A 23,668-nucleotide genomic window follows, 5' to 3' on the forward strand; every position below is an offset into this window, starting at 1 on the left:
ACAATAAATGTGAGCTCCACTCACTACTTTGTACGCAAGTAATATAGCGCGGGGCTGCCTACCAGGGCCCCCAGATTACCCCCCACTCTAATTGGTCTGAGTGATTGAAATGGTCTTGTTGCAGAGACACACAGAGAGGAAAGAGACTAAGAAGGAACAAAGAAGTTGGGTCTATGAGGATTTAATTATGAAAAAAATATACATTCCTCGGGTTTAAGAGGATAGAGGTTTGTGTTTGTCTTTAAATAAAAGAAAATCTTACAATGTTTCTTTAAACCTTCTAATATTTAACTGTTTTCTTTGGAATCAAAAGGCCTAAGAAATAAGACCAAACTCTTTAACACAACCAACAAGTTACTTAAACTCCCATTTCTTTGCTGTAAAATGAAATTATAATAGTATCTACACCTCATTGAGTTTTGCTGGGGACTAAAACATGACTGTCAAACCTTTGACATAATGGCTGGCATACTGTAAGAGCTCAATACATGTTAGGGATTATCATAATCTTATAGCTCCCTCCTTCCTTGCACACTTTTATTTCTGACCACCATACCTCAAGCCACCACTGACTGAGCACTTTCTTCTTGCTGGGTACTGTGCTAGGAATTGGAAAACCAAGGAACATAAAGTTCCTACCTGCTATGTGCTTTCAGGCTTGCAGAAGAAAAACACACAATAAAGTCACAGAAATCACAGAGGGTGACGGGTGGGCAGATGCAGAGGAATAAGTGGGCTACTCACCTAGGGTTGGAGAGGATCTTCAGGGAAGGGAGGATTATCATCAAGGGAGCCTGAACAAATCAAGACATGAAAGGAGAGGCGGTATGATGGAGAAGAGCAAAGGCAGGGGTTCTTCTGAAGCATGCTCTAACACTTTGGACTTGACCCTGAGGCAACAGCAGGAGGAATGAATGGAAGGTTGATGTGTATATTCTGAGTGTGTGTGTGTTGTATCTGTGTATATGTTGAGCCTTTTTCCTCTAGTATATTCTCCGAGAAGGCGATGACTATGATGAAAAGACATTAAAGAAGTAATGTAGACCAGGCAATTAAAACATCAGTGGTGATCAGAGAAACAGTGGAAAGAGGTACACAGACAGTGTCTTCTGAACCAACAAAGAGGTAAGCTGGCCCCATTTTTAGGCTCATTCTCTGGCCTTAGAGTGGACTCTGCCATTTACCAAAGGGAAGCAGGACCAGTTGGGAGGTTCTTTGCAACAGTCCAGTCAAGAAAGTGGGAGAGGACAAGGTAGTCACAAGAGACTTAGGTATGGGGGTGAAAGTCTTACTCTCCCACTACTACAGTTCCAGCTCTGGTCAATCATCCCTTGAACAGGGCAGAAAGATAAGGTTCCCATTAGCCACTTGGATTCAGAAGTGAGGATTGAAGAGTCTGGTGAATTGAGTAATTAGAAAGACACTGGTGACTTCTATCATATCAGCTTCAGGAGAATGCAGAGGTGGGCAGAGAGTGAACTTTATTCAAGTTGGGGGAGACAGGACAGTAGCTGGAGGATGACCCAGGTTTACGGGAGGGACTTTATACTTTTTAAAGATGAGATTCTTAGTTATGGTTTATTGTTTAAAGGCTGTAAAAGCAGAAGCCAATAAAGAGAGTAAAAGTGGAAACACAAAAGAGTAACAGAACAGTAAGGTAGAATCCACGTGATGAGAGAAGAGAAGGGACAAGACCGGACTGGAAACAGCACTGCCCAAGATAAGGGTACCTTCACGCTAGGAGGGAAGAGAGGCGGTAAGGACAAGGACAGACACGTGTGTCACTACAGTGACACAAAACCGAGCAAAAGCGAAACTGGCAGCCTTAATTTTCTCTATGAAGAGAAAGTTTTCCCAGAGAGGAAACAGTCTAGGGGTATGGTGTAGAAGGAAACTTAAAAAGGGAGACAACGTTCAGAAATAGTCACAGAGGGGAAGGTGATGAAGTCGTCGGGCGTGTTGAGATGAACAGATGAGGGTGCACCCTGGGATCTGGCCTGGAGAAAGCAGGAAATCAGGGGACTGCACAGTAGAAACGGTAAAGAAGTGGGAGAAAAGGAAAAGGCCAGAGGTCAGAGGTCCCAGGAAGGTAGAGGTATTGCATGCAGTGCAAAAACCCAAGGAGGTGGCAGTCTTCCACTGCCGAAGCCATCAAAAAGGGGAAGGAGAGGGGAGAACAGCAGCATAAGCAGCTGGCAGAGGCAGCAGAAAGGAAAGAGACAAGGAGACAGAAAGTCAGAGAGAGAGGAAGAGACAGAGAGACAAAGAGAAGGAGACAGAGAGAGGAAGAGACAGACAAGGAGTCGAAGAGAGAGGAGGGAAAGACAGAGACAGAGAGAGGAAGAGACAGAGAGACAGAAAGTCAAAGAGAGAAGGAAAGAGAGGAAGAGACAAAGGAGTCAGAGAGAAAGAGACAGAAGCAGTAAAGAGAAAACAGTGTACCCTATTCCTTTAAAAGCCAGGGTAAATTTAAAACCTATAATTGATAATTGAAGGTCTTCTCTGTAACCCTGTAACACTCCAATACCACCTTGTTGCCAGTGTAAACAAGGGTGTAACCCGAAAGCACTGAAGCCACTGACAACCCATAGCCTTCCTATCAAAAATCCTTAACCCTGCAGGTTTCCTAACAGGGGATCTAAATCTTAACTAATTACCATACAAAGGTCCAACTAGATCTAGGAGGAACTCCTTCAGGACAGGACAATAGATGGTTCCTCCCAGGTGATTAAGGAAAAAAGACACAATGGGTATTCAGTAAGTGATAAGGGAACTCCTGTAGAAGCAGTTAGGAAAATTGCCTAATAATTGGTCTGCTCAAACCAGTGCCAGCTGTTTGCACTCAGCCAAACCTTAAAGTACTTACAGAATCAGGAAGGAACCATCTATACCAATTCTAAGTTAATATGGACTGAACGAGATCTTATTAATAGCAAAGAACCCAGGGCGTTCAGTCCATATTAACTTATAAGGTAATCCCAAATTTATTAGGTTATAAGGTAATCCCAAACTTACAACGTTTTCAACAAAAGTAAAGTTTGCTAAAAGTTAACAGTGTAACATGTATTATCCTACTACCACACACTCTCAAAGGATTTCTCAGTTTGCAAGAAATAATGAAACCTATCCTTACTCTACAATCCCAAATAGACTCTGGCAGCAGTGACACTCCGAAGCCTCTGAGGCATAGACCTCCTCACTGCTGAGAAAGGAGGACTGCTGCACCTTCTTAGGGGAAGAGTGTTGTTTTTACACTAACAGGTCAGGGATAGTAAGAGATGCCGCCCAGCGTTTACAGGAAAAGGCTTCTGAAATCAGACAACGCCTTTCAAACTCTTATACCAACCTCTGGAGTTAAGCAACATGGCTTCTCCCCTTTCTAAGTCCCATGACAGCCATCTTGCTATTACTTGCCTTCGGGCCCTGTATTTTTAATCTCCTTGTCAAATTTGTTTCCTCTGGGATTGAGGCCGTCAAGCTACAGATGGTCTTACAAATGGAACCCCAAATGAGCTCAACTAACAACTTCTACCGAGGACCCCTGAACCGACCCGCTGGCCCTTTCACTGGCCTAAAGAGTTCCCCTCTGGAGGACACTACAACTGCACGGCCCGGTCTTCGCCCCTATCCAGCAGGAAGTGGCTAGAGCAGTCATCACCCAATTCCCAACAGCAGGTGGGGTGTCCTGTTTAGAGGGGGATTGAGAGGTGAAGTCAGCTGGACTTCCTGGGTCGAGTGGGGACTTGGAGAACTTTTCTGTCTAGCTAGAGGATTGTAAATGCACCAATCAGCACTCTGTAAAAATGCACCAATCAGCACTCTGTGTCTAGCTAAAGGATTGTAAATGCACCAATCAGCACTCTATGTCTTGCTAAAGGATTGTAAACACACCAATCAGCACTCTGTAAAAACGCACCAATCAGCCCTCTATGTCTAGCTAAAGGTTTGTAAACTCACCAATCAGCACTCTGTAAAATGGTCCGTTCAGTGCTCTGTAAAATGGACCAATCAGCAGGACGTGGGTGGGGCCAAATAAGGGAATAAAAGCTGGCCACCTGAGCTAGCAATGGCAACTCGCTTGGGTCCCCTTCCACACTGTGGAAGCTTTGTTCTTTCACTCTTCACAATAAATCTTCCTGCTGCTCATTCTTTGGGTCCACACCACCTTTATGAGCTATAACACTCACTGTGAGGGTCTGTGGCTTCATTCCTCAAGTCAGCAAAACCACGAACCCACTGGCAGGAACAAACAACTCCGGACGCACCACCTTAACACTCACTGCAAAGGTCTGTGGCTTCACTCCTGAAGTCAGCGAGACCATGAACCCACTGGAAGAAAGAAACTCTGGACACATCTGAACATCTAAAGGAACAAACTCCAGACACACCATCTTTAAGAGCTGTGAGACTCACGGCAAGGGTCCGTGGCTTCATTCTTGAAGTCAGCAAGACCAAGAACCCACCAGAAGGAATAAATTCCGGACACAGAGGAACAGATGTGAAGGGAATGAGGAACTGTTCTCAACCCTGGCCACATGTAAAAACCACCTGGGGGGCTTTTAAAACAGTATAGATGCCTAGGCCCCACCCACAAAAATACTTCTAAGATTCTGATTCAGTTCCTCTGGGATTGGGCCCAGTCAGGGCATTAAAATGTTCTTGCGGTGATTCTAATCTGTGGCCAATTTGGAGAACCACTGGAAGAGGAAGTGTGAGATCTGGGAAGAATAAAATGATGTACATGGAGTTAATTATTTCAGAGGCACATGGAATGCTCTGATCGCATACATCATCTTCCTTGTCCCTCCACACACTCTCAGTACCCTTCCTTCCCTCCAGCAAATTCCTACTCCTCTTTGAAGATTCAGAAAAGATGTCACCGCTTTATGAAGCCTTCTCTTGTCCCTCTGGAGTCTACTTCTCACAATTCTCACACCTTCATAAATGCATTTCTATTACAGCATCACTCATGCTGTTTTACTTTTACTATTAACCTGTTTGAGTTTCCCACTAGACTGTGACCTCCACCAACCAGCACAGAGGCCTAGCACAGAGTAGGCACTCATAAATGTTTGGAGAATAAATCCTCAAGTAAAACGGGAAAGGCAAGTGTTTCAATTAACATCTCAAAAAATGTTGACATAAAATGTCTAGACAGAATTTCTGAGAGTTTCTTATTAAACACTGAAAGGAAACCACTGTTATTAATAGTTAAGTCAACAGGAAATTCATCTTTCCTTTCCTTGAAAAAAAGGAAAGGATATCCTTGATATATCAGAGAAAGGGTGATCAATGATCAGTTAGTTATCTCAGCTGTTACCCCATGTAGCATCTGAGCAAGAGTTAAAATAAAATCCTTTAATATAATGTATAGACCAATTTATCTTGCTCCTCAGTCTCAGCTCAAATAAATTCTTACTCAACTCTACCGTGGCTCCCGAAAGAACAAGGAATATTTAGAGTCAAAAGCATATGTTTTGTAACTTAGAGCAGAATGGGGTACTTCCCTGTCAAACATGACTGTTCATCAGTTGCAATCCTATCAGCTCAAAGCTCATTTCTTGATCTGAAAAGCATCAGGCATATTGTTAAATATGGGGGGCATGAGTTAGCAGTTCTTGCATACTTCCTCAGTAGATAAGAAGTTGCAGACTTCTATGATTAGATCCTATGTCTATGTCTTCTTCTAAATTGCAAACGCCTTGAGGAAAGTGACTATTCCATTCATTTTTTTTAAATAACAGCTTCATTGAGATATAATTTATATACTATTATCTAGAAAATCCCACAGCCTCAGCCCAAAAGCTCTTTCGGCTGATAAACAACTTAAGCAAAGTTTCAGGATACAAAATCAGTGTACAAAAATCACTAGCATTCCTATCCACCAACAACAGCCAAGCAGGGAGCCAAATCAGAAACACAATCTCATTCACAATTGCCACAAAAAGAATAAAACACCTAGGAATACAGCTAACCAGGGAAGTGAAAGATCTCTACAATAAGAATTACAAAACACTGTTCAAAGAAATCAGAGAAGACACAAACAAATGGAAAAACATCCCATGCTCATGGGTAGGAAGAATTAATATAATTAAAATGGCTACACTGCCCAAAGCAATTTACAGATTCAATACTATTCCTATCAAACTATCGACATTCTTCACAGAACTAAAGAAAATTATTTCAAAATTCATATGGAACCAAAAAAAGAGTCCAATTAGCCAAGGCAAGCCCAAGCAAAAAGAACAAAGCTGGAAGCCTCATGTTACCCAACTTCAAATTATACTACAGGGCTTCAGTACTCAAAACAGCATGGTACTGGTACAAAAACAAGAACACACAGACCAATGGGACAGAATAGAGAGCCCAGAAATAAAGCCATACATCTATGACCATCTTATCTTCAACAAAGCTGACAAAAAACAGCAATGGGGAAAAGACTCTTTATTCAATAAATGGTGCTGAAATAACCGGCTAGCCATATGCAAAAGATTGAAGCTGGACCCTTTCCTTATACCGTATACAAAAATCAACTCAAGATGAATTAAACACTTAAATGTACAACCCCAAACTATAAAAAGCCTGGAAGACAGCCTAAGCAATACCATCCTGGACAAAGGAATGGATAAAGATTTCATGACAAAGACACCAAAAGCGATCAAAACAAATTGACAAGTGGGATCTAATTAAACTTATGAGCTTCTGCACAGCAAAAGAAACTATCAACAGAGTAAACAGACAACCTACAGAATGGGAGAAACTATCTTCAAACTGTGCATCTGACAAAGGTCTAATATCCAGCACCTATTGAGGGAGGAAATTGAAGAACGAAAGAAAAATAAAATTAAAAAGAGAAAAACAAGCCTTCTATATTAGGGTGACTCATTCCAAAGGCAGTAGCAGGCAAAGCCTGGACCCAGGTGAAGTCTCAATAATATTATCTAAGAAGCCAGAGCTCAAAGGAATGTGCCCTGGAGACTCTCCCAGCCCTCCTTCAACATAGGGAGAAGAAAACAAATTTTCCTTTCCCCTATGAGTAAAACTTATGAGTTTACAGATTCCTGTTTTCCGGTAACTTGAGTATTCTGTTTTTATCTAAGCAGCACAGTGAAGATTATAAGACATGCCTGAGCAGGCCTGGGCTGCAGCCATCTGGGCGCCATAGTGAAGGTTAAGAGATAAGCCTGTGCAAGGCACTAGAGCAAGCCTCCATAACAGCCATCTGGACTGCACAGGAAGAGTCACCTGTAATCCTGAGTTATGAACCTGTCACAATTTAATTAACTCCCTTTGTTCTGCCTCTGTATCCTTGCTTTCACGCCACTACGATTCGCGCCACTGTAAACTTGTTTCAGGCTAGCCCACCCCCTTTTAGAAATGTGTCTAAAATTCAAGTGCTGTCTTTGTTCCAGGCCCAGTTTTTGGATGTTAATCCGCTGGGTCTGAGTGCACTCAATAAAAATCCTCCAGTTTCACCATGATCTCTCCGGTCCTCCTTCACTCCCACAACCCTATAAGGAACTTAATTAAACAAATTTACAGGAGAAAAACAAACCCATTAAAAAGTGAGCAAAGGACATGAACAGACACTTCTGAAAAGAAGACATACATTTGGCCAAGAAGCATATGAAAAAAAGCTCAATACCGCTGATCATTAAAGAATATGCAAATCAAATCAGAATGGCTATTACTAAAAAGTCAAAAAATAATAGATGCTGGTGAGATTGCGGAGAAAAGGGAACACTTATATGCTGTCGGTGGGAGTGTGAATTAGTTCAACTGTTGTGGAAAGCAGTGTGGCGATTTCTCAAAAAGTTAAAAGCAGAACTACCATTCGACCCAGTAATCCTGTTACTGGGTATATACTCAGAGGAATATAAATCATAAACACACATGGACATGAATGTTCACTGCAGCGCTATTCACAACAGCAAAGACATGGAATCAACCTAAATGTCCATTAATGACAGACTGGATAAAGAAAATGTGGGCCAGTCATGGTGGCTCATGCCTGTAATCCTAGCACTTTGGGAGGCTGAGGTGGGTGGATCACCTCAGGTCAGGAGTTTGAGACCAGCCTGGCCAACATGGTGAAACCGTGTCTCCACTAAAAATACAAAAACTAGCTGGGTGTGGTGGTAGATGCCTATAATCCCAGCTAGTTGGAAGGCTGATGGCCGGAGAATCTCTTGAAGCTGGGATGGTGGGGGGTAGGGGTTGGGGGGTGGAGGTGGCATTGAGCCAAGATCATGCCACTTCACTCCAGCCTGGGCGAAAGAGTGAGACTCCATCTCCACAAAAAAAAAAAAAAAAAAAGAAAAAAAGGAAAATGTGGTACATATATACCATGGAATACTATGCAGCCATAAAAAAGCACAAGATAATGTCTTTTGTAGGAACATGAATGGAGCTGGAGATTATTATCCTTAGAAAACTAATGCAGGAACAGAAAACCAAGTAGCACATTTTCTCTTATAAGTGGGAGCTAAATGATAAGAACTTACAAACACAAAGAAGGAGACAACAAACACTGGAGTGTGGAGGATGGGAGGAGGGAGAGGAGCAGAAAAGATAACTATTGGGTACTGAGCTTAATACCTAGGTGATGAAATAATCTGAACAACAAAGCCCCATGACATGTGTTTACCTATGTAACAAACCTTCACATGTACCCCTGAACCTAAAAGTTAAAAAATTTTTATATCATAAATTTATATACCATATTTTAAAGTACACAATTCAGTGCTATTTAGTATACTCACAGAGTTGTGCATCCAATAATACTATCTAATTCAAGAACATTTTTATCACCAAAAATGAAATCCTGTACCCATTAACAGTCACGACCCATTCGTCCCTCCCTCCAACCCCTGCAAACACTAATCTTTGTTTTTGTGAACTTGGTGATGATAGACATTTCATATAAACAGAATCATATAATGAGATCTTTTGTGACTGGCTTCTCTCATTTACTGTATCTTCAAGGTTCATCCATGTTGTAGCATGTATCAGTACTTTATTCCTCTTTATGGCTGGATAATATTTCATTGTATGGCTATACTACATTTTATTTGTTCACTGGTTAATGGACATTTGGGTTGTTTTCAGTTTTTAGCTATTATGAGTTAACACTCATATACAAGTTTTTCTTCTATGGATATGTAAAACTGACCCAATAGTCCTACAGATAGCTTTTTTTGATAAACATAGAAATTGACCCTTCTGGTCTTAAAAGAAATTTATATTTGTTTATCTGAGATCCTTCCTCAGGAAATGACCTTCAGGTCTCTCAAAAAAAAAGTATCAAAGAACTGAAACTCACCAGATCATTGCATCCAGACAATGAGATGGGGGAACCCTCATTCATCCTAATTGCTTCCTTGCTCCTACCTAGATCCTGTTTTGTTACAGTTTGTTTCATTTCTTCCCTACTATATAAAACCTTAGTTTTAGTTGGTCAGGGAGATGGATTTCAGACTGAGCTCCTATCTTCTCAGCTGCAGCACCCGATTAAAGCCTTCTTCCTTAGCAATACCTGCCCTCTCAGTGATCTGGCTTTCTGTGCAGTGAGCAGCAGGACCTAGACTGAACCCCTGGTGTTTCAGTAACACATTTTCAATTGTCTTGGGTGTGTACTCAGGAGTGGAACTGCTGAGTACAGTAACTTTTTTGTACATACACACACACATTTTTATATTTTTATAAACATATTGTTACATATATATATATATATATATATATATATATATATATATATAACATTTTCAAGAACTCCCAGACTGTAGTACAAAGCCACTGTACCATTTTCCATTCCCTCCAACAGTGTATAAGGCTTCTAAATTCTCCACATCCTTGCCAACACTTGTTATTGTCTTTTTTATTATAGCCATCCTAGTTGGTGTGAAATGGTATTTCACTGGGGCTATGCTTTTCATTTCCCTTTCATTTTCCAGAATTTCCAGTTCCTTTTATTATAAAGTCTAGCATGTAATAAGACTCAATAAATGTTTTTTGACTCCTTAATTCATTTCCTCATTAATTCATTAAATATGTACCAAGAGCCTACTATGTATACCAAGGCCAAGAACACAGCAGTGAACAAAATAAGCAAAACTAAATGAGGAATGAATAACCAAAATGCCAGTAACAATGAGGGTTAGTCTTTAGCATAAAGGTGGTTCTCTTGGATTCCTGGCAGGTGGATGGGTCCCCCAGTGATTCTGCCATCCCCTCCACGTCTATTCATCATGCTATGTTGAGTGTGATTTATGAAGCTCCAACATCAATTCAAGAGGATCGATTCCTAATCCAGAGGTGGGTATAAGTTCAGATTTAAGAGTGTGACAAGAGCTAATATTACTGCTGTCATTGCTCTCCTGCATGCATGATGAAGGAACATCTATTATAGCCTGGCACGTGTTTCCTCCTTTTCTGTTAAAAGCCTCGCAAATTTTCTAGGGGAATCAGCCTTCCCCTACACCCATTCAATCATTCAACAGATATTTTTTGTGCACTACTCCATGCCATATATGCTTCTAAGTGCTGAGGATATAGCAGTGAACAAAACCAACAAAGTAAAGATACCTATGGAGCGCAGAGCGCACACTCTAGGGATTAGGCCCATGTGTTTCAGGCAGAGATGATTGTACTCCTTATTTCAGGGGGCACATGGCCAAGGCACAGCCAATCACAGTAGCAAATCCCCAGGGCTCTAGTGGCTGGTTCAAGGAAAAGCTTATGACCCACATGAAGCCAACCATGAGACTTGCCAGAAGGTAAGAGTGGTGCTCTGTTTTCTCTTTTTCTTGAACTAGAAGATATAAGCCTAGAGCTTCAAGGGGTCACCATGAGGAGATAACCTGCCCAGCATGACTGTACCAAAGAAAGCGAAGCCAAGAGACAGAGAGAAAATGTGCAAGCCCTAATGACTGAATCCCTAAAATAAGACATGCCTGAAATATGATACTGCTGGACTTCTCAGGTCGATAGATTTATGTGTTTATTTTGCCTAAGCCACTTGGAGCTAGGTTTTCTCTGTTTTGCAACTAAAAGAGCCCTCGTTAATACACAAAGTATTTTTTATGAAACCTAAACAAAACTGGATAAGCCAGGATCACTCTAATTTCATGACTTGCCCAGCTTCTCTCGATCCCAGCCACAAAGGCCCCAGCACAGATACAACCAGGCCTACTGGCCCTGTAACTCGGACCACATCCTAATACAAACCTGTGCTGCATCCTGTGGTTAAACCTGGCTTTCCCCCTCCTCCTTTTCCCTTTTCTAAGACCTTTAGCCTTTTGTCAAAGAAAGAGTTTGTGAGTAATGACAAGAACTTCTCTCTTCAATAACCTGCTGCTCTCCCTTTACTCCCGCGACATGCTTATAAAATTGGAAACTGACAAACGGGCCCAGGGTTGATAAATGGGCCAAAGGAAGACCAATGTTTGCCCCATGCTTGAATGAAACTTCACATTTGCTTCATTTTTATTTTTCTGCTATACAATTTCATTTCCACTGAGGAGTTAATAGTGAAACCTACCCTGAGGAATGTCACTGTTTGAACTAGATTACAAAATATTAAGGAAATGAAATAAACTCTGATTTTTCTTTTCCTTTTAGGAGGGAGAAGCTAAATAAAGCTGGCTTCCCGAAACTACTCATGAAAGGAAACCTTCAATGTGACAAAAATGATAAGAACTCTGTGAACAAAAGAGGCAAAAGTTATCAATAAGGCAGCTTGGGTCACCGGGCCAGGGAGATGGGAGGATTTGAACCTCAGAATATTCTAACTAGGCGAGCAATGTCACACTGCTGATGCAGAGTGTCAGATACAATCAGATCTTACCCACTTGAGGGTTTCTTGTGTCCCATTAAACTTAACTGCCTGAGGACTCACTCTGTTCAATGTTTGAAGTGGAACTGAGATTTAAGACAGATGTATCACATACTTTTTAATAAACTCAATCTTAACGAGCTTGATTTAGCCATTCCACAATGTATACACATTTCAAAACAACATGTTGTACACAATAAACATATACATGTTTTATTTGTCGATTATAAAAAATAAGTAAGAAATGTTATTTTCTAAAAAAGAAAATCAGATTTGGCAGAAAATCAGATTACACAAACTCACAATGGCTGAAGTTGGCAGAGGGTCTTATGAGAACACCATGTTAGGGATGAGGAGAGAGGTTCAGGGAAGGCTTCCCACAAAAAGAAGAGCTGGCTGGGCGCGGTGGTTCATGCCTGTAATCCTAGCACTTTGGGAGGCTGAGGCAGGCGGATCACGAGGTCAGAAGATCAAGGCCATCCTGGCTAACACAGTGAAATCCCGTCTCTACTAAAAATACAAAAAATTAGCCGGGCATGGTGGCACATGCCTGTAGTCCCAGCTACTCGGGAGGCTGAGGCAGGAGAATCACTTGAACCCGGGGGGCGAAGGTTGCAGTGAGCTGAGGTCGCACCACCGCACTCCAGCCTGGGCGACAGAGCTAGACTCCATCTCAAAACAAAAAGAAGAGCTGAGCCGGATCTTGAAGGGTGGAAAGGAGCCCAGCAGTGGACAAGAAAGAAAAAGGCATTCCAGATGGGGGAAAGCTTGCCATTCCCAACATAACACCTGGCAGATGTGATGGTCAGTTATTTAGGAAGCACAAGCAGAATGTGTATATTCAAGTAAGAATTAAGACCTTTGGAGTAGTCAACTTTGGAAATTATATTCCAAGGTCATTTTCTCTGTTCAATTTCTTTTTTACTTTAAGGGACAGGGTCTCACTATGTTGCCCAGGCTGGAGTGCATTCACAGGCACAGTCATCATGCACTACAGCCTCAAATTCCTGGGCTCAAGCGATCCTCCTGCCGCCTCAGACTCCCAAGTAGCTGGAGCTACAGGTATGCACCACTACACCTAGCTCTCTTCCCTGCTCAATTTCTAAGCTGTTTCCATTCTTTAATAAAGCCTCAGTGACTTTCAAAGATAATTTTTTTTTAATAGAGCTCTAGACTTACGGGCAAGCCTGATGATGATCCAGCTTGAGAATATTGGTTTAGGTGAAAAAAAAGTAGGTGAGCTATAAAGAAATGTCACATATTTTCTTGAGTTACTACTGATAAGCTGGGCCCCAAATCCATTCTGAAAGGGAAAAAATGTTAAACAATAACAGGATCCTTAAAATAGGGTAATTACTTGATATCATGGGCTAAGGCCTGCTCAGAAGGCACTCCTGAGCTGAATCGTGAAGGGCCAATAGGAGTTTCAGAGGCAGACAATGGTATAAATTCTGGTATGTTTGGCAGGGCGTGGTGACTCACACCTGTAATCCTACCACTTTGAGAGGCCGAGGCGGGCAGATCACTTGAGGCCAGGAGTTCAAGACCAGCCTGGCCAACATGGTGAAACCCTGTCTTTACTAAAATTACAAAAATTAGCTGGGCATCATGGCACATGCCTGTAATCCCAGTTACTCGGGAGCCTGAGGCAGGAGAATCGCTTGAACCTGGGAGGCAAAGGTTGCAGTGAACCAAGATTGTGCCACTGCACTCCAGCCTGGGTGTCAGAGCAAGACTCTGTCTCAAAAAAAATTTAAATAAATAAATAAATAAATAAATTCTGGCATGTTTGTTTTTAAAAGATGTCCCTGTAGTCACAGCTCCCTAGAGTTAGAAAAAGGAGCTGAAGGCAAACCTTACCCCACTTATTAGTCAAGACCCTCTCTCATCAGTCGCCATTTGAATTTTCAAGTGAAAAAAATGGCTGGAATAGGATTTTCCACTGAACTAGGAATACCTCTTTCCCTGTAGAATGTGTTATATGTCATACCGATGCATGAGAGTAGTAGCTGTTATTTAAAAACCAGGCTAGATAACTGTTCCAGTATCTCTTACGTTATAACCACCAAAGAATAAAGCTGTTTGAGCACCAGCATGAAGAATGAAAACATCAGCATAACAAAATATAGCAAGAACAGGAAATTTCTAGAAGTTATTTGATTAGTCCACCTTCACTTAGAGGAACACACATCATTTTATACACTTGCCAGCTTTATTTTAATGTTTTCATACTAGAGTACCTTGAAGATAAGACTATAATAATAATCTATTAATAACCTATCTCATAAAAATATGATTTTAAAAGTTAAAGGATCCCTAAAAGAATTATTCTCAACATTTAAAATCTATTTTCTAAAGAACATACGTATTTATTTTGATTTTTCCAAAATTCATATATCTATTCAATACGTATTGACAAAATATGTATTGACAAAATCCATACCCTCCCCAAATCATCACACTATGATTATATGGCTTCTAAAAATCAGCTCTAAGACACTGATATTCCTGTGTAAACTCAGGTTTGTCATAGTTTTTGGCTGTTTTTTATAAAAGAATATTTGTTGCCTCTCATATACCTCTGCTGAGCTTAGTGTTTATGTTTTATTTTAGTTCTTTGTTGAAATATAACATGAAAAATGTCATATAAAGGAGAAAACAGCTTGATTATATTTAATAATAAGTTTAGAATTTAGGGACATTAGTATCTATTTGCCAATGGCTTAAATCTACTTATTTAAAAACTCAGAACTTGCTGAGCAATATGTGCCCTAATAAATATGAAATCTATCCAGATCTGTCACTTGAAGTCCTATATGATGTTTAATATGAAATGTTTCTGCAATTGCTTTTTCCTTATTATGTAACTGTGAGGCTAGGGATTAAATCCCACACCACATTGTATGTAGACTAGCATCTATCATGAGACCAAAAAAGGGATGCACAATAAAATTAAGGTTGTTTTCCTAAGGCCTGAAATTAATCTGCTGATTAGACCCAAGGAGAATACATTCAGTATTGGGGGCGGGGGGGGTTTCTGTCTAAGCAAACTCTACAAGCTATTAATAAGATGCAGATTGAGAAACGCAACACCAACACCTACTCCTTTGTTGACATTTCAGCAGTACCCAGGCTGTAATGTACAATGCTAGATGGTAAAATTTGACAGTTTTAAGCTCCTGTCATAGTCAACTAAAATATTTTTACATTACGATATAAGTATTCATGCAATTATTACACAAATATGGTTAAGTCCAACTAATTCTTGTACTTGATTTTAAAGATTCATTTTTCTTTCTTTTTTTTTTTTTTTTTTTTTTTTGAGACGGAGTTTCGCTCTGTCGCCCAGGCTGGAGTGCAGTGGCGCGATCTCGACTCACTGCAAGCTCCGCCTCCCGGGTTCACGCCATTCTCCTGCCTCAGCCTCCCGTGTAGCTGGGACTACAGGCGCGCGCCACCATGCCCGGCTAATTTTTGTATTTTTAGTAGAGACGGGGTTTCACCGTGTTAGCCAGGATGGTCTCGATCTCCTGACCTCGTGATCCGCCGGTCTCGGCCTCCCAAAGTGCTGGGATTACAGGCGTGAGCCACCGCGCCCGGCCAAGATTCATTTTTCTATTACATTAGTGAAGAACAATGAAATTAAAAAACATGTTATTTTAGCAAATCATAAGTTTAACATTAAACATTATCTTTTTTTAAGTTTTAATATTCAACTGCTTCTCTGCATTGAAATATGAGAAAATGTATCTGACCTGGAAGTACTTCTGACATGGATCACCAGGCGTCAGCAATGGTGCAGGAAATAGGTTATAATTTGAAATCTAAAAAGAAGGGATCATTTGAGAAATTAAAACTCCAAATAACAAAGCATAAAAGAAAGAAAAGCATAGCAGTGAAAATCTCTCCAAAAGCTGTTATATATACCAAACAAATTTTGGCAGATAATGTCCAAATTTTTGTTTGTTTATAGTTGGTCATACCACTTTTGATTGAAACTTGAATTCCTACTTTGTCACATTTCCCACAAACATTTATTGAGGATTTTTTTCATGGTAGGCCTTACCTACCTTTCTGTCTCAAGTTTCCAATGCTTTTTCTCATCACACACACACACACACACACACACACACACACACACAATTCAGCACCACTACAGAAAAAAAAAAATTGGTACATTTTGCCACGTAAAAATTAAAACCATCTGTTTAGAAAAAAAGTGACTATAAACACGATAAAAGCAAAAAACAGACTGAAGAAAAAATTACCACCACAGATGACATAAAAGGGCTAATTTCCTTTATATAGAAAGAGTTCCTTAAAACCATTAAGAAAAATATGAACAAGTCTGTAGGAGAATAAGAAAAGAAACAAGTCCCAAGAGAAACACCAATGTTGAATAAACATAAATCACTAGCTTCACTCAAAACTTAAGAAAATACCAATTTAAATAACAATGTCTAACTGGATTTCCTATATCAGACTGGAAAGATTAATAAGCCAGATAATACCACAATCTAAGGACAGGACACTGGAAACAGGAAGTTTCAAACCTTGCTGGTGAGAGTAAAAGCTGGCAAAATTCTTTGGAGAGCCATTTACAAATATCTGAGCAAGTTTTGAATGCATGGATCCCACTGCTCGGCAATTCCACTTCTGATAATTTGTTTCACAGACAAGCTAACGTGGATTCTATTCTTCTGAAGTCAAAAGACCAGTAACCACCTAGATGTTCTTCAGTGCACAGCTGGTTCATTAGATGATAATACACCCATACAATGAAGTACCATGCTGCCCTTAGGAAAAATGAAGTGGATCTACAAGAGCCTATATAAAAGGGGTTGTTGGTTTTTTGTTTTTTTGCAACGGAGTCTGGCTCTGTCACCCAGGCTGGAGGGCAATAGCGCAATCTCGGTTCACTGCAACCTCCACCTCCCGGGTTGAAGCTATTCTCCTGCCTCAGCCTCCCGAGTAGTTGGGATTACAGGCGCGCATCACCACGCCCAACTAATTTTTGTATTTTTAGTAGAAACAGCGTTTCACCATGTTGACCAGGTTGGTCTTGAACTCCTGACCTCAAGTGATCCGCCCACCTTGGCCTCCCAAAGTGCTGGGATTACAGGTGTGAGTCACGACACCTGGCCAAAAAGGGTTTTAAGATGCATCACCAAGAGGTGAAGAATATGCATAGCAAAGCATGATCTAATTTGAGTAACATTTTTAAAAAGCGTACACATATAAATACATGTGCACACACACCTAGGTGTATACTCACATGCACATGCATTTACATGGAAAATTTCTTAAAGGAATAGAAAGATCTAGAAATACTGGTAAGCTGCCAGTTTAACAAAATAATACATAATAAGGAAAACTGAAAATAGACCTTATTTTCAATGAGTTGCCATCAGGAATGTCACTCAGAATGATAACATGTTATATTAAGTCAAATACAGATACTGTATGATTCTATTTATATGAATTACAAAAACAGGAAAAACAGATTGATATCAGGATGATGGGGGTGGGGTAGGGAAGAAGCAAAAGGGTGGCTTCTGGGACACTGAGAATGTCATGTTTTTTTCATTGAGATGTGGAAATTCATCAGGCTGTGCTCTTACGTGCACATTTCTATATGCGTAATGCACTTCCATGAAAAGTTAAAAGAAAAAAATCAAATGCCAGAGGTTTTCTAAAGCACAACTTAAATTGAAAAACCTTTATATTTGCAAAAGCTCTAAATTCTAATCTAACCTTTCCAAACTAGCAACCTTTAATGGGCATCACTTCCAAATTTATGATTCTGATAATGACCTGACAGCCTGGTCTACTGAACCAAGATACATTGTTAATTATATTTTCACAAACTGTGGGTAAGGCTCATTACTCTGGTATAATTAAAAGGGTGGGTTTATTCTAAACTGTCCTGAAACAGCAAGTGATGCCTCCTCTGTGCTCCTCTGTCTTTGCCCTATAACTTTCTGCTCAGTTCCTTAAACATATTTCACAATTCCATTTTCCTTTTCTTACATTTTAGTTTTTGTCTTCAGTACATTAAATGCTATGCAGAGAAAGAGATGAAGTAATAGATACTCAAGAAAATGAATACCAGTAGAGAGAAAGTCAAAAAAAGGCATACTAGTGTGAGCATTCTGAAAAGGCTTGAACAAAAACTAAGAATCTACATACAGTTGGCCCTCCGTATCCTCGGGTTCTACATCCATGCATTCAACCAAGTGAGGATCAGAAAGTTAGGCCTGTGATGGTTGCATCTGTACTGAATATGTACAGACTTTTTTTTCCTTGTCATTATTCCTTCAACAATACAGTACAGCAAAACTATTTACATAGCATTTATATTGTATTAAGTATTATCAGTAATCTAGAGTTGATTTAAGGTATACGGAAGGGGCAGGTACAGCGGCTCATGCACACTGGGAGACACAGGTGGGAGGACCACCTGAGCCCAGGAGTTTGAGACCAGCCTGGGCAACACAGCGAGACCCTATCTCTACAAAACATACTAAAATTAGCTGGGTGGGGTGGCACACACTTGTATCCCAGCTACTCAGGAGGCTGAGGTGGAAGGATCACTTGAGCCCAGGAGGTTAAGGCTGCAGTGAGCTATGATTGCACCATTGCATTCCAGCCTGGACAACAGAGTGACACCCTATCTCTAAAAAATAATTAAAAAATAAAAAGTATACAGGAGGATGTTGCATAGATTCTATGCAAATACTACACCACTTTATTTAAGGGGCTTGAGCACCCCCAGATTTTGGTATCTGAAGGGAGTCTTGGAACCAATCCCCCTCAAATACCGAGGGATGACTGTCCTTAGTGTATATAATCCTTAAAATAAAATATTCCTGTTTCCCTGACCAAACAAACTCCAACTTCTATAAAGTTAAGAATTAGACATTCTGCTAATGACTTTATATTATAAATAGCCCTGAGTTATTATCTGACCCATATTTACTCCATACCTGCCATGTGTCATGCATTATGCTAGGAGCAGGGGATACTTTAGTGAGTAAAAACACATTTACCGTCTTGTGGAACTTACAGCCTAGTTGTTGGGGAGATGGATATTAATCACAAAGTTACTCACATAAATAAGTTCTGGAGGAAAATAACTTAGGTGTAAGAGAAAATGCAACAAAAAACCACAGGCCAGACTGGAGAGTCAGGAAATGCTTTCCTGAGAAAGTCAAATTTAAGGTGCAATTTGAGGACCAACTAGGATTTAGGTAGATAAACATTTATTAAACACCTAGAATGTGCAAGGCATTTCCTGGCCCTGGGGATGAGGTACAACTATGCAGAACTTTTTCCCCTAGACACTTATATCCTTGATGAATGAATCTCATCTAATTAAAACAGTTTCTGAGAGGAACTTAGGGGCATGGACTAATTCTACATAAACAATAACCTGAGAAGATATCAAAGCAGCACTTGGAAAATAGGCAAACACTATACAAATGATGGCTTTTAAGAACAATATACAGCTGTGCTGTCCAATACAGTCCCTGTCTACTAGTACCTAGAAGCTATTGAATACTTAAAAGGTAGCGCAACCGACAACTGAATTTATTTAACTACAATTAATTTAAATACAGATTTATAAGTTGATATTTGACTCTTATTGGAAAACATTTAAGTAGGTTTGGAACTTCTTAGGTAGGTGAGTCTACTTCCTCAACTCTAAATTTTATGAAATTTAAATACAGATCAAGTATTTCCAATGAATATTGCATCCAAGTTGATTGCTGTGAGTGTAAAATGCACGCTGATTGTGAATACTTGGCGTGGAAAAAATGTAAAATGTCTAATAATTTTTAAATATTGATTGCATGTTGAAACGATAATATTTTGGTTATATTAGGTTAAATAAAACATGTTAAAAATAATTTCACCTTTTTAAAAGTTTCTACTTCTGGAATACATAGCGTATATTAAAACCATGTTTAGAATTTCCAGGGTTAGATAATTATACAAAAAAGTTATTTAACTACATGAATATTTGCTAGGGTATTTAAAAGCTTTGCAGAATAACACAATCTTTGTTGTACAGGGTAGTCCTAAGGACTGCAAGACATTTATCATCCCTGGTCTCCACCCGAAAAATTCAAGGTCTAGTACCACATTTTTTAACGTGGTACTAGAAAATTTTAAATTACTTAATGTGGCTTGCATTCTATTTCTACTGGCGAAGTCCTGATCTAGAGAATGTAGACAAATTCAAAACTTTACCCTAGGCTGGGTGCGATGGCTCATACCTGTAACCCCAGCACTTTGGGTGGCTGAGGCGGGTGGATTACGAGGTTAAGAGTTCAAGACCAGCCTGGCCAACATGTGAAACCCCATCTCTACAAAAAATACAAAAATTAGCCAGTGTGCTGCATGCTAGAAATTTTGTCAGCATTGAGAGGAGAGTCCTTGTTTCCATAAAAATGACATACGGAGTTTAGAGTTGTTGGGGACTAATGGCAGGCCACTACAAGTTCTACACTGAGAATACAGTTGTGATTTTGGGGCAAAGCATAAAGCTACCTAGGTGAAACAGTCTAGCAACAATAGTTTCCTTCTAGCAGTGTTTCCACATGTCCCGTTAATGAAAATTCTTAATGCTGATATGCCTTATGATAATGCTACTAGGGATCAATAAATATCCAACAGGACCACAGAGAGAGCTTGCAACCCCAAATCACAAAAGCACCATTAAGCAAACAGATAAATAAATAAATAAATAAATAGATAAATAAATAAAATGCCCTCTTGTCATTTGATTCAGTAAAAGATGCTATGTACCTTTAAATAATTCTAAAGAGGAATGAAAGATTTAAATAAAAATCAGACAAACAATTACATTTTACCTATGTTCCCCAAATACTGCCAAACAAGTCTGACCAATTCCTCCTTCTCAATGTGCCTAGCTCTTTGTCCAACCCATTTTTAAAACAGTCCTGCACAGTCCCATAACTCCTCCCCTGACAGCCAGTCTAATTCCTCCCCATACATTGTCCCGGATCTATCGCAGATCTACAATGCCAGATAAACACTGCTCTGGTCACAATCACCACCTTATCTAAAATCTCCAGAATTAAGTTCTTTCAACCACTGACAATCTAAGACCCAACTGATTCTAGAATCTCTCATTTATCCTCTTTACCTTCAAATAGCTACTTCCCTAGAAACTCAATGCAATGCTATAAAACCCAATACTCCCTTTCTATAACAAATAGCTTATAATAACCCCTTTATTATCCTAAAGTGATATTCACAGATAATATAACCTATCTGAACACATAAATTCCAGAAAAGGGGGAAAAAAAGGAGGGAAACATTTCAATAAGCAAATTCTCAGGTATGACTATTCCAGCAGTCGTAATAAACAGGTATCAGATGCTCACCTATGTGTAGAACCATTGTTAGTGCAATAGCTATAAATGCAGACTGAAAGAGGTATGTGTTGTATTGACAACTCAGACATGATTTGCACTGCTGCCAATAACATCAATTGCAAAATGCTGAACAACTCTTTGGAATATTCCAAAAAATGTTAAATACACTTGTTTTTAAATGAGAAGGAGCTTTCATTTCTGGAATACATAGTATATATTAAAACCATGTTTAGAATTTCCAGGGTCAGATAATTATATAAAAATGTTATTTAACTACATGAATATTTGCTAGGGTATTTAAAAGCTTTGCAGAATAAGACAATCTTTGTTGTACAGGGTAGTCCTAAGGACTGCAAGACATTTATCATCCCTGGTCTCCACCTGAAAAATTCAAGTAGTGGACCCCTTCCACACTCACCTAGTGGGAGTTCTAGCCACCCCCAAACCCCAACTTTGAAAATTATGACCTTGGCCCAGAGTTATCTCTTCCTTTTAACTTATTTGACACTTAAATCCTGTATGATCCTGAACCAATACTTAATGTCTGGAAGCCTATTCAACTGTCTTGTTGGACTGTAAATTGTGGTAACCATCGATCTGACAGTTACTATGACAACAGAATGGGGTATCATAGGCTGCTTGTTTTGCTTAGTGTCTAGCACATCTTAAGCATTCAATAAGTGCTAATTAAGGCCAGATGCAGTGGTCCACACTTGTAAATCCCGGCACTTTCAAAGGCCTAGGCAGGCGGATTGCTTGAGGCCAAGAATTCAAGACCAGCCTGGGCAACATAGTGAGACCCTCATCTCCACAAAAAATTTAAAAATTAACTGGGCATGGTGGCACATGCCTGTAGTCCTAGTTACTTGAGAGGCTGAAGCAAGAGGATTGGTTGAGCCCAGGAGTTCAGTGCTGCAGTGAGTTGTGAAACAAGGTGTGAGACCTTGTCTCAAAAAAAAAAAAAAAATACTCACTGCTATTATTGCTGTTGTTATTTTTTTCTCACCCATACTTGTTTCCTCAACTAGGCTGTAAGCTTTCTGGACCAAAAAGCAATGTCCTGGAGATCTTTGTATACCTGGCATAAGTAAGTGCCCAATAAATTTTTGTAGTTCACATCTTCTGTATTCTTTTTCTGCCCCATCCTGATTTCTTGTGAAAACGTTCACAAATAGTAGGCTGAGTCCAAGAATGGAGCTAAAAACTATAATTATATAGAAAATTGTCTTTCTGACATTAGTGAAATCATCATTGTAACCTGCCAAGCAGAGGAAGGGCTGTCAAAAAAACTGTCGGCAGATGCTTGCTCTCGAAAATCTACAGGATTATTTTAGTGATGAATACTTTTAAAGTAGACATTGCATTCCAGGCTTAGATCTATCTACAAAAACATACCGATTCCCTCTTACTTTAAGGTTTTAAACATTTTCCCCCGGAGAACTAAGCCTTATTTCCAGATCTATAAAGCGAAGTACTTCTATCAGATGACTCGGGTCCTTCCAGCACTAACGCTATATAACATTTATTGAATGCTTATTATGTGCCAGGCATTGTGCTAAGTAGGTACTTTGTAAGGATTATCTAACTGATCACCTCCAGCAACCCTATGAAAAAGATATGGTTATTATGTCAGTTTTACAGATTAAGAAACTGAAGCACAGAGGGTTAGGTAACATGCCAAAGATCCCACCAGAGGCAAGTGATGGAGCTGGTACCAGCTGTTCACCTCTAAAAAAGAGGCTCAAAATCATTACACCATGTTTTTTGGAACTCTTCTCTCCAAGTTGACTCAAATAGCCTAAATTAATTAATGCCACAAGACAATTCTCACCACATTACTAGGGTTCTTTTGAAGTTTGTGTCCAACATCCTCATATACATGGCAACTAAAAAAAAGGGGCCTCTCAACTGCTGGTAGGCAAAACCTGAGTCCTCTTGTTGCTTGCAGCTGAGAAAAGCAAAATAAAGCACACTTGAGAACATCTGCAAATTTTTTATTTTTTTATTTTTTTTTGAGATGGAGTCTCGCTCTGTCGCCCAGGCTGGAGTGCAGTGTCGCAATCTCGGCTCACTGCAAGCTCCGCCTCCCGAGTTCACGCCATTCTCCTGCCTCAGCCTCTCGAGCAGCTGGGACTACAAGCGCCCACCACCACACCCGGCTGATTTTTTGTATTTTTAGTAGAGACAGGGTTTCACCGTGTTAGCCAGGATGGTCTCGATCTCCTGATCTTGTGATTCCCCCACCTTGGCCTCCCAAAGTGCTGGGATTACAGGTGTGATCCACCATGCCCGGCTACATGTGTGAAATTTTAACTCACTCTGGGGGTGGGTTTTAAAGTCAGAAAATAAAGCAAAATTCAATAACAGTCAACTATTTAAAAAAAAATCCTTTAAATTGCCTGCTTAGTACAATACACACAGTTTCAGTTAA

The 23,668-nt window shown here is 39.9% G+C and overlaps 1 protein-coding gene across 51 annotated transcripts in view; it reads right to left on the bottom strand.

Moving 5' to 3' along the window:
* Nucleotides 1-23,668, bottom strand: part of APBB2 (amyloid beta precursor protein binding family B member 2) — a 404,516-nt gene that overhangs the window by 207,621 nt on the left and 173,227 nt on the right. For 49 of the 51 annotated variants that reach the window (XM_047450191.1, XM_047450181.1, XM_047450169.1 and 46 more), the window contains one exon: nt 15,589-15,657. The exons of the other annotated variants lie outside the window; for them this stretch is intronic. In XM_047450191.1, coding sequence (XP_047306147.1) covers nt 15,589-15,607 — 19 coding nt within the window. In that variant the 5' untranslated portion in view covers nt 15,608-15,657. The remainder of the gene's footprint in view (nt 1-15,588; nt 15,658-23,668) is intronic. 51 annotated transcript variants of the gene reach the window in all.

This window comes from Homo sapiens, chromosome 4, assembly GCF_000001405.40.
Source record: "Homo sapiens chromosome 4, GRCh38.p14 Primary Assembly".
Taxonomy (NCBI): domain Eukaryota; kingdom Metazoa; phylum Chordata; class Mammalia; order Primates; family Hominidae; genus Homo; species Homo sapiens.